The 12,372-nt window shown below is 35.0% G+C and overlaps 1 protein-coding gene across 16 annotated transcripts in view; it reads left to right on the forward strand.

Annotated features, from left to right (window-relative positions):
* Nucleotides 1-12,372, forward strand: part of RAB3IP (RAB3A interacting protein) — an 84,963-nt gene that overhangs the window by 50,705 nt on the left and 21,886 nt on the right. For 10 of the 16 annotated variants that reach the window (XR_007063038.1, XM_006719226.4, NM_022456.5 and 7 more), the window contains 3 exons: nucleotides 5,491-5,568; nucleotides 6,195-6,398; nucleotides 11,263-11,391. Coding sequence is in view for 12 of the 16 variants with exons in the window: in XM_006719226.4 (XP_006719289.3) it covers nucleotides 5,491-5,568; nucleotides 6,195-6,398; nucleotides 11,263-11,391 (411 nt within the window). In the remaining 4 variants the exon portion in view is untranslated. Of the gene's footprint in view, nucleotides 1-5,490; nucleotides 5,569-6,194; nucleotides 6,399-7,530; nucleotides 7,698-11,262; nucleotides 11,392-12,372 lie in introns of those variants that run through there. The other 6 variants (XR_007063039.1, NR_103519.2, NR_103520.2 and 3 more) reach the window with 3 other exon arrangements.

The following is a 12,372-nucleotide window of genomic DNA, read 5'->3' on the forward strand; positions in this document are numbered from 1 at the left end:
ACCTTTGAGTCAAAAAATCAAAAGGGAACTTGAAAAGTTTCTTGAGACGAATAAAACTGAAAACACAACGTACCAAAACTTAAGAGATGCAGAAAAAGCAGTACTAAGAGGGATAAAGGCCTACATTAAAAAAGAAGAACAATCTCAACCTAACTTTATACCTCAAGGAATTAGAAGGAGAACAAACTAAGTCCAAACTTAGCAGAGGGAAGGGAATAACAAAGATCAGAGTAGAAATAGAGAATAGGAAAATAATAGAAAATATTAAGAAAACCCGAGTTTGTTTCTTGAAAAAAATAAAAACCCTTAGCTAGACAAACCAAGAGAAGAGAGGACTCAAATCAGAAATGAAAGAGGAGGTATTACAATGGATGCTTCAGAAATAAAAAAGATCATAAGTGACTTTTATGAACCACATGCCAATCAATTGGATAATCTAGAAGAAATAGATAAATTCCTAGAAACTGACTCAGTTTTCTGGAATCAAATTCTGGAAAATGGAATCAAGAAGTAGAAACAAAAAAGCCCAAGATTAGATGGCTTCACAGGTAAATTCTACCAACATTCAAAGAAGAATCAGTGCCAATTCTTTTTACACTCTTACAAAAATAGAAGAGGGAACCCTTCCAAACTCATTTTATGAGGCCAATATCACTCTGATACCAAAGCCAGTAAATGTACCACAAGGAAAAAACTATGGGCCAATATTCTCAATGGACATAGGTGCAGAAGCTCTTAATAAAATGTTAGAAAATCAAATTCAGTAACATATTAAAAGGATTATACACTGTGATCAAATGGGATTTGTCCCTGGGATGCAAGGATGCATCAACATAGGCAAATCAATCAGTGTGATAAACCACAGTAATAGAATGATATAATAATATACATTATAATCTTAATAGAAGCAGAAAAAGCATTTGACAAAATTCCACATTCATTTATGCTAAAACTCTCAACAAAATAGATATAGGAACTTACTTTAAGACAATAAAGACCATATATGGAAACCCATAGCTAACAATCATAATCAGTGGGGGAAATTGAAAGCTTTTCCTCTAAGATCTGGTATAAGACAAGGATGCCCACTCTTCACCATTTCTGTACAGCACAGTTCTGGAATGTTAGAGCAATCAGTCAAGAAAAAGAAAAGGCAACCAAATTGGAAAGGAAGAAATAATCTCTGTGTGCAGATGACATGATCACAAGTGTAGAAAATTCTAAAGATTCAACAACAAAAAAGTTAGAACTAATAAATGAATTTGATAGGGTTGCAGGATACAAAAATTAATGATGTTTTTATACATGGACAACCAGTTACCTGAAAAGGAATTTAAGAGAACAATCTCATGATTTCAGTGTCAAAAAGCATCAAAAAGAATAAAATACTTAGGAATAAACCTAACCAAAGAGGCAAAAAGACTTGTATACTGAAAATTATAATACAGTTAATGAAGGGAATTAAGACACAGATGGAAAGAGATTTGTGTTCATTGGTTGGAAGAATTAATACTGTTAAAATGTCTATTCTACCCAAGTGATTTACAGATACAATGCAATCCCTGTGAAAATCCCAATGGCATTTTTTACAGAAGTAGGAAGTTCATATGGAGCTACAAAAAACGTTAATAGCCAAAGTAATTTTTTTTTTTTTCTGAGATGGAGTCTTGCTCTGTTGCCTAGGCTGGAGTGCAATGGTGCGATCTTGATTCACTATAACCTCCGCCTCCTGGGTTCTAGCTTTTCTCCTGCCTCAGCCTCCTGAGTAGCTGGGATTACAGGTGTGCACCACCACGCCCAGATAATTTTTGTATTTTTAGTAGAAACGGGTTTCACCATGTTGGCCAGGTTGGTCTTGAACTCCTGACCTCAGGTGATCTACCTGCCTCAGCCTCCCAAAGTGCTGGGATTACAGGCGTGAGCCACTATGCCCAGCCCCAAAGTAATCTTGAGCAAGAAAAATAAAGCTGGATGCATCACACTTCCTGATTTCAAAGTACATGACAAAGTTACAGCAGTAAAAACAGTATGGCACTGATATAAAAACAGACATGTGGACCAATAGAAGAGAATAGAGAGCCCAGAAATGACACATTTTTGGTTAGCTGACCCTCAACAAAAATGCTAAGGACACCTAGTGGGGAGTAGATAGTCTTATCAATAAATGCTGCTGAGAAAATTGGATATCCACATGCAAATGAACGAAATTAGACCCTGATCTCACACCATAAAGAAAAATCAATTCAAATGGATTAAAGACTTACACATAAGACCTGAAACTGTAAACTCAGAAGAAACAAGGAAAAAGCTTCTTGACATTGGTCTGGGCAGTGATTTTTTTGGATGTGACACCAAAAGCACAGGCAACAAAAACAAAATGGACAAGTGGGAGTACATCAAACTAAAAAGCTTCTGCCCAGCAAAAAACAGTCAACAAAATGAAGAAGCGGCATACTGAATGGGAAAACATTTGCAAACCGTGTATCTGATAAGGAGTTAATATCCAAAGTATATAAGGCATGCAGTAGCAAAAAACAACCCAATTGAAAGATGGGCTAGGGGCCTAAATAGACATTTCTCCTAAGAAGACATACAAATGGCCAACCGGTATATGATAAGATACCCAGCATCAGTAATCATCAGGTAAATGCCAGTCACTCCCCAATGAGATAGCACCCCACACTGGTTAGAATGGCTATTATCAAAATACAAAAGATAGTAAATGTTGGCAAGGATGTGGAGAAAAGGAACTTGTCCACTATTGGTGGGAATGTAAATTGGTACAGCCATTATGGAAAACAGTATGGAAGTTTCTGCTCAAAAAATTAAAAATAAAGCTACCGCATGATCCAGCAATCCCACTTCCAGATATATATCCAAAAGAAAATTGCTATCCTGATGAGTTATCTGTGCTTCCATGTTCATTGCAGCATTATTCACAGTAGCAAAGTTATGGAAACAAGTTATATGTCTATTGATGAATGGATAAAGAAAATGTGGGGGGTATGTGTGTGTATATGAATACTACTCAGTCTTAAAATGGAAATCCTGCCTTTTGCAACAACATGAGCGAACCTGGAGGACATTTTGCTAAGTGAAATAAGCAAGACAGAAAGACAAATGCTACATTATCTCACTTATATGTGGAATCTAAAATAGTCGAGCTCATAGAAGCACAGAGTAGATTGGTGGTTGTCAGGGGCTGGAAAGTGGGAGAAACGGGAGATGTCGGTCATTGGTACAAAGTGTCAGTTATGCAGGATAGATAAATTCTGAAGACCCAATGTACAGCACGACTATATCGTATGTTACAAATTTGCTAAGAAGGTAGATCTTGTTTGCGCACCACCTCCCCTCCAAAAAAAAGGTAACTGAGAGGTGCTGGATATGCTAAAAGAAAAACAAAATGATATGTATATTTCAGTGTTCATAAATATTTATTAAAACAGCCACACTAATTTGTGTATTGTCTATGGCTGCTTTCATATTGCAACAGCAGAGCTGAGGAGTTGCAGCTGAGGCTGTATATGTATACATAGTGTTTGACTCTTTACAGAAAAAGTTTACCGACTCCTGGTATAGGTGATACTTACATCATTTTCAGCTTTGGAAGGGCAGTGTGATGGAAAATTTTCAAACTTTTTTTGAGTCTACCTTTTGATGTTTTTTGTCAATTTTTAAAAAATTCTGTAAAAATTCTGCATGTCATCTTTTTAGCAACTGATCCTGCCCCAGTCTAGTGCTCATCTTTCCTTTTGGGGCTCCAATTATATGTATGTTATACCTTTTCACTGTAACCCTTATGTCTGTAGTGGAAAAGTCACCTAAAATTTCACATTACTCTAAGTTTACTTCACTATTTTGTTCTCAGATACCTTCAAACATATTTTAAAAACAAACAAAAAACTTTTCTAGCTTTTCTAATCGTTCTCCGTTGGAGGTTTGGTACAAATTGCATAATCCACTATTAATGAAAACAGAGTCCATTTCCAAAAATTTAGTCAACTATTCTCTCCATAGTATGAATTACTTTTTCATTTAAAGTTAAAATGTTACTTATCTTGAAGGGTCAGATTAGCTGTGTTTATTATTTTTAAAACATTGCCAGATAGTTTTGTGTTGACAGCCACTTGTCCCAGAAAAATTCAGCAAATCTGAAACATTTGTTATTTTTAAAAGGAGAATATTTAACTCATTAAATTTGACAGCTCTTAAGGACTTTGCCAAGATAGCCAGAATAATAGTGCATGGAATATCTTCATGGTTAATATCATTTTGCTATAAATCATTGATAGTAAAGATTCTCCTATTTAAACTAGTATAAGCTGCAAATTCACATTCATGGGCACACACAAACTGCAGTGTTACAATACTGTAAAAGCTAATGAACAAACGGGAAACAAACAGTCAAACTCTGATGTAAAGAACTTCCACCTTTCCATTCTACCACTGTGCATTTTGACAGATCTAGTGAGGGTGCCATTGTCAAACTATTCATTAAATATCTTTGAAGCTCATTTCCTTCCTTCCTCTGATAAATTGTAAACTAAAGTTCTAAAATGTAAGTTCTTAAATCTCGGGGCACTATCTCAAGCACCCTATATATGCTTCCAGTCCATTCTTAATCCCTTACAGGGATTATTCTATACAAGGGCATAATCTTTTAAAAATAAAATGATCATGTCTTCCTTAAAAAAACTGTAAGGCTTCATATTGCATTTAGAATAAAACCCACAATTCTTATTCCGATGTTTTATTTGGTTAATACATATAAACAGAATGTAAGCTCCTTAAGAGCAGGGACTTTGTCCTTTCCCAGTACGTAATCAGCATCTGGAGCAGTACCTCACAAGGAGATGACATGAGTAAATGTCTCATGAATAAACATTATATGAATAAAAAGGAATTAAATACCTAGAGTTTCATATTTGTGGTACTAGAAGATTAAAACTCTATTAAAGGGTAAACTGATTTGCCTTTTTAGGTTGCTCTTCACAAAATTGTCACATAATAAAATTTTGGGAATGTTTTTATTGAAAGCTCTAAGGCTTCTTAGCTGTCATTACTATAAACTGCAACATTATTGGTGTGTTAATGTTTTTACTTGTCCCTCCTGTATGTCTTTGCTTTGACTAATAAGAACATATATAGTGACCACATTATAAAAAGCTGACTGCAAAGGAGTTGGCTTTGACACATTGGTCATTGTTTGCCTTCGTCACATTCACAGTCCTTACGCAAGTATCTATCCGGATGATTGATCTCAACTTGGCTGCCTCAGTGGTAATAGGTCCTAAAAGAAGGCACCTATTCCTAATGTCTCATAGTTTGTCTCTGTTGTCAACTGCTGCTTCCATAGTTGACATTGAATACTTAACTTCAGGCTAACTTTTGGTAGTATATCTTTGCTTCAATTGTAAACATTTGGCAAGAACTTTTTGAAAACAAATGCTACTTTGTTTCTAAAATTTGAGATGTTAACTTTTTCAGGAAGCTCATAAAATGGTGAGAGAAGCAAATATCAAGCAGGCAACAGCAGAAAAACAGCTAAAAGAAGCACAAGGAAAAGTGAGTTTTTGCAGCTCTTAATAGTATAAAATAAATTTGTGATAACTGTTTTAAAGATACCTTAACATCTGTTGGATTTTGTTCTGATCGTAAAGTAGTGCTTGTTTTCAATTTGGAAACTACAGAAAAATAGAAGAAAATAGCTACTATGTAGGTATAATTAATAGTAAACATTTCGTGTCCATTTATATGAGAACCAAATGATTTAAAACCTTGTAAATCACATGAATTATCCAAAGGATTATAGAATCACATTTTAATGTTAATACTTAGTTTTTAAATTCACTGAGAAAAGCCACCTAAATGTTATTAGATTTTACTGTTTTAGGAGTGAACTTCTACAACTAATCATAAGCTATTATATTTTGAGGATTTTGAAAATTCACATAAATGTTAGATATTTTGGTAATTTTCACAGGCTCATTTGACGTTGTTAATAATAGATGAATCCAAACCATATGGAAACATCAAAAAACTTGATTTTAGTTTCTTTTTATTACTCCACAGGAAATACAAATTAAACTTACTTTTCATCTTTGAAAGTGTTTTGACCAGATTGCTAATATTTAGCTGCATATGTCATGAAACGTATTTAATGTATGTGACTATGTTGATTTCTTTCCAAGATTGATGTACTTCAAGCTGAAGTAGCTGCATTGAAGACACTTGTATTGTCCAGTTCTCCAACATCACCTACGCAGGAGCCTTTGCCAGGTGGAAAGACACCTTTTAAAAAGGGGCATACAAGAAATAAAAGCACAAGCAGTGCTATGAGTGGCAGTCATCAGGACCTCAGTGTGATACAGCCAATTGTAAAAGACTGCAAAGAGGTAACTCATCAAGGACTGTCCCCTCTGACTCTGTTGATACTTGTTAGTTCTCATCACTGAGGTGTCAGTTATCATTTTTGCCAGCAAAATTTTTAGTACAAAATAATGCAGTATTAAGATGGGGGAGGCTTTATCTAGAGCTGGCTGCTTTCAGGGATTCTTCAGTTCCATTTTCTACCTGGCTGACCTTGGAGTACCTGCTGGAAACTTGGTAAGTTTCTTAATCTCAGTATTTCATTAAGGGAGGAAACTGTCATGTGTTGTCTAGAGGAGAGTGGGTGGCTTTAATGATCTGGCTAGTCAAAATTTATTGCTAGAGTGCGCTTACAAAGTATGGATATAAGAAATATGTGAAAATAAGATGATTTTCTTAAAGATCAATACATTGCTTTTATTTAAATTCAGAGAGAATTTTATGTCAGCAAGGGAGTCCTAGAGTTAATTTAGATAATTAAGCAACAAAAAAATAGAAATAATGGTAGCCTTACAATGACATAAGGCTGGAAGACATTTTGCTAAGTGAAATTTCAAGTTATAGTAGAACAATTAGTGTCATTTTTGATCCCAAATTAGGTTTCACAGTTCAGCCAGTCTGTTATTCAGACACTTACAACTATGTAAGGCCACCATTATCATGTATCCATAACAATTAAAAATTTAAAAACGAAATAATGGGCCGGGCATGGTGGCTCATGCCTGTAATCTCAGCACTTTGGGAGGCCAAGGCCGGAGGATCACCTGAGGTTGGGAGTTCGAGACCAGCCTGACCAACATGGAGAAACCCTATCTGTACTAAAAATATAAAATTAGCTGGGCATGGTATCTCATGCTTATAATCCCAGCTACTCAGGAGGCTGAGGCAGGAGAATCCCTTGAACCTGGGAGGCGGAGGTTGCGGTCAGCTGAGATTGCGCCATCACACTCCAGCCTGGGCAACAAGAGCGAAACTCTGTCTCAAAATCATAATAATAATAATAGTCTTATTTTAAAAGATATGTTACAAAGATAACTGAAATAATATATAAATATTTTGAGCTGTTTAGAGTAAAAATTTTTAATCATTGTATACTGTGAGAATGCATTTCTAAGAGGATTGATCAATAATTTATGAAGCTTTCCCATTTCTTCTTAGAAGCCATCTTTTACATTGTTAAATTCAAGTCCATCATTAATCTTGAAGAAATGTGTGTGCTTGTTAAATTTTTGTATGGAAGCCAGGAGTTTATTAAATGGAATAACCAATGTTAACCTGTTTTAATTGAATTGCATTTTGACGAATTATCAATAAAAATGATGCTGGTAAGAGAGAAGTTCAATACTTGGTTAAATCTGAATGTAACCAAATCCAAAATTCACATTGGTTTCTGTTAAATATTTAAGAAACTTCTTTGTCCTAACTTTAATTCTAATTCTTTGGAATTTAAATAGCAATTTTAATTGCCTGGTACAACTTGTATTTTTGGTGTTTCTTACTCAGTATGTGTAAGTAATTATGTACTTTCCCCCCTATTTACACTAACAAAATTATAAGTGTCTTCTCATGGAACATGGTAAAGATTCATTTTTAGTTTTTGAAATCCCTTAAAATGTGCATAGGCAGCATATAACTTCAAAATAATAACCTTTGCTCTTCAGGTACGTGTTATAGTCTGATGTTTCATGAAAAACTTGTCAAAAAGTCTTACTAGGCAAAGGAATTACATAAATTTGACCTGTGTAAGTCTTAGAAAAATATGTAACAATCTGGAAGAAAATTAAGCATGTCCGTGTTTTTGTAGAAAATATGATGGGGCACTCAGTTATGACATTAGCAACATGTCTTCTGTAAACATTTAAAATACACATGCATGCATGCAGACATACATGCCCAGTGCAAGGCTTTGGGATCAAGCCACTTAGATTTGAATTCGGACTTTACTGCTTTCTTGCTATGCAATCTCCGGCAAATTACAAATGGCAATCATAATATCTGTCTTGCACAGTTGTGAGGATTAAATGCTTGTAAAGTGCTTACGGTGGTTCCTGGCAGAGTCAGCTCTTAATAAATGGTTTAAATTACAGCCTTTAAACTAGAATCTTTCCTTAGAATACCACTTACCTGCTTTGGGGTTTATGTCCTTTTTCTTTTCTTTCTTTTTTTTTTTTTTTTTTTTTTTAATAAATTTGCATCTTTCTTTTTTTTTTAATTATTGTTATACTTTAAGTTTTAGGGTACATGTGCACAATGTGCAGGTTAGTTACAGATGTATACATGTGCCATGCTGGTGCCCTGCACCCACTAACTCGTCATCTAGCATTAGGTATATCTCCCAATGCTATCCCTACCCCATCCCCCCACCCCACAACAGTCCCCAGAGTGTGATGTTCCCCTTCCTGTGTCCATGTGTTCTCCTTGTTCAATTCCCACCTATGAGTGAGAATATATGGTGTTTGGTTTTTTGTTCTTGCGATAGTTTACTGAGAATGATGATTTCCAGTTTCATCCATGTCCCTACAAAGGACATGAACTCATCATTTTTTATGGCTACATAGTATTCCATGGTGTATATGTGCCACATTTTCTTAATCCAGTCTATCATTGTTGGACATTTGGGTTGGTTCCACGTCTTTGCTATTGTGAATAATGCCGCAATAAACATACGTGTGCGTGTGTCTTTATAGCAGCATGATTTATAGTCCTTTGGGTATATACCCAGTAATGGGATGGCTGGGTCAAATGGTATTTCTAGTTCTAGGTCCCTGAGGAATCACCACACTGACTTCCACAATGGTTGAACTAGTTTACAGTCCCACCAACAGTGTAAAAGTGTTCCTATTCCTCTACATCCTCTCCAGCACCTGTTGTTTCCTGACTTTTTAATGATTGCCATTGTAACTGGTGTGAGATGGTATCTCATTGTGGTTTTGATTTGCATTTCTCTGATGGCCAGTGATGGTGAGCATTTTTTCATGTGTTTTTTGGCTGCATAAATGTCTTCGTTTGAGAAGTGTCTGTTCATGTCCTTCGCCCACTTTTTGATGGGGTTGTTTGTTTTTTTCTTGTAAATTTGTTTGAGTTCATTGTAGATTCTGGATATTAGCCCTTTGTCAGATGAGTAGGTTGCGAAAATTTTCTCCCATTTTGTAGGTTGCCTGTTCACTCTGATGGTAGTTTCTTTTGCTGTGCAGAGGCTCTTTAGTTTAATTAGATCCCATTTGTCAATTTTGTCTTTTGTTGCCATTGCTTTTGGTGTTTTAGACATGAAGTCCTTGCCCATGCCTATGTCCTGAATGGTATTGCATAGGTTTTCTTCTAGGGTTTTTATGGTTTTAGGTCTAACATTTAAGTCTTTAATCCATCTTGAATTGATTTTTGTATAAGGTATAAGGAAGGGATCCAATTTCAGCTTTCTACATAGGGCTAGCCAGTTTTCCCAGCACCATTTATTAAATAGGGAATAAATTTGCATCTTTCTTAAGAAAGAGTAACAGACTTAGGTCATTAGTGTGTGCTCATATAAATCAATATATGTTGGGAACAAATACATTTGAGAAGTTAATATTAAACAGACTGTTAAATTGGAGATGTGACATCTCTTATTAGAGCCAGGAGGTAAGTGAATTAGGAACAAAGATTAAAGAGTCTTATTTAGAAGATAAATGGAATTGAGGAAGTGTCCTTTTTCTCAGTAACTTTACAAAGAAAATGCATTTGAAAATGTAAGTATTGCTTATATGCTAATATTATTTATCCTGTTGCTTTTGCTTTGATTCAAGGAATTTATGAATTGGGCTGAAAAAAATATTCACATGGAGATTGCCCTTATACACCTTAAAAGGAAGTCTGTAGGAAGGCTTGGCTACACTCAGCTCTATGTTACATTTTTGTAGACTACTTGCACATCTGATTGAGCTATCCTAGAGGCAGTCTGTAGCTGTAGTCAGTGCATCATTTATGGTGTATCCAGTGCCTCTGGAGAAGAGCAGCTTAGAGCTGTAGGATGGGGGAGACTGCTCTAGTTTGGGTGGCTGATGTCAGTGCAACTTTGTATTCCAGCAGATGCTATTGAGCTGGACTGAGGGAATCTGAGAATCTGTAGGGAAGAATACTTGGGGAAAATTTATTAGGGAGGTGAGAAAGAGAGGGATAGCTGGAGGAGTGAATAGGAAGGCAGGTGCCAGCAGTGGATTATTATTGATGCCTAAGATGGTAGTTACTGGGTGCCAAAAATATGTCAAAAATATCTAAATAAATGTTGTATTTTAAGGTAGTTTAGAAGGCTTTACGTATTCTTTTTTTTTAATCCTGTTGGTTATGCAATAACATTTTGACAATTCTTTTTGGAATGCCTTCAAGTTATAGTAGAACAATTAGTGTCATTTTTGATCCCAAACTAGGTTTCACAGTTCAGCCAGTCTCAGTTTATTCAGACACTATAATTAATTAGGTTCCAAATTACCTTTTTATTGTTTTCAGAAAAGACTTGTCATCATTTATTATATTCTGAATAGTGTGCCACCTGTGTCTTAAGAGGAACTCCAGCATTTTTGGTGGGGATGGGAGAAGGAGCTCAGAGTGAGGATAATAGTAGTGTTATTGAACATGGTAGTGAATGATGCTTGGAAAAAGGCTAATTGGTTATTTGAGAGTCATTTTTTAAAAAGGAAAACTGCTACCAGGTATTATGCTACCAGGTATTATTTGAGAGTATTTTTTAAAAAGGAAAACTGCTACCAGGTATTGAACCACCAAGAGTGGTTCAATTTATTATTTTAAATGAAGAGCTTTTTTTCAGTGATGTTTAAATTAGTTTTGGTTTTGTAAAGCGGTTTTTATGTTTATACGTTTTAAAACATGTTTTTGTGTTTTCCTTTGGTTTGTTAGGCTGACTTATCCTTGTATAATGAATTCCGATTGTGGAAGGATGAGCCCACAATGGACAGGACGTGTCCTTTCTTAGACAAAATCTACCAGGAAGATATCTTTCCATGTTTAACATTCTCAAAAAGTGAGGTAATTTTTTTTCATTTTAGTAGGAATTCATTATAGTTGTTTCTGTACTTCTTTTAAACTAAATCATATTACATATTTTAATATCTCTTACATAAATAAGTTATTATAAAATGTCATGTTTTGCTATTTTTGCCATTCCGTACTAGAATCATGATAATTTCTTGGCATTCAGTTACTGAACATCTTTTCTTATATGAGCAGAGGATCATTCACACTCAAATGTGTACTGCATTGGTGTCAGGTATTAAATAGGTATGGGGGATAGGACTTATTTCTTGATTTGCAGTCCAAGGTTCAGTGTAAGGGAAGTTCTCTACACACTCTGTTAAAGGCATTTGTTGTGTCTATCTGTACATGATTTAAAAATCTAATTTTTTATCTTTAAAACAGGAAAAGTAATGCCTTCTTTGCCTGTGCCACAGGATTGTTAAAAGGATAAAATGAAGTGGATTAAGTAGATGCAAAAACCTTAGAAAAATAAGGCAGTATAAAAATTTAAAGCTGTAATTTTAATTTGTTCTTACATGTGAAAGGTTTGTCTACAAATATCCGGTCAATTAAAGTATAAGAAATTTAATCCTAAGAGTTTTATGTTAAGTCTTTCAAGCATTTAATTATAACGTTGCTTACCAGGAGAAGTTAAGATGAACATTTTTCACACTTTTGGTATGAATATATCTTGTTCATTGTGGCTCTGTATCTGGTTTCAGGTAGGCCATTCAGTATTAGTAACCTTGCCAGACTAAAGAGGTTTTCCTGTTTCATCTGGTGTTAGTTGCTACCGTCTTCATCTGGGCATTTAATATTTGATAATTCAGCTAATTCTTTTGTAGACTCACTCTTGTGCACATAAATACAAATTCAGAAAATATGCAGCTAATTAATATATATTGCTGTGGTATAAATGACCAATGTTTAAAAATATTGTATATATTTAGCAGAATAAAGCTTTAGGATATTCATTTTGAAGTGGCATTAACT

Source organism: Homo sapiens, chromosome 12 (assembly GCF_000001405.40).
Source record: "Homo sapiens chromosome 12, GRCh38.p14 Primary Assembly".
Taxonomy (NCBI): domain Eukaryota; kingdom Metazoa; phylum Chordata; class Mammalia; order Primates; family Hominidae; genus Homo; species Homo sapiens.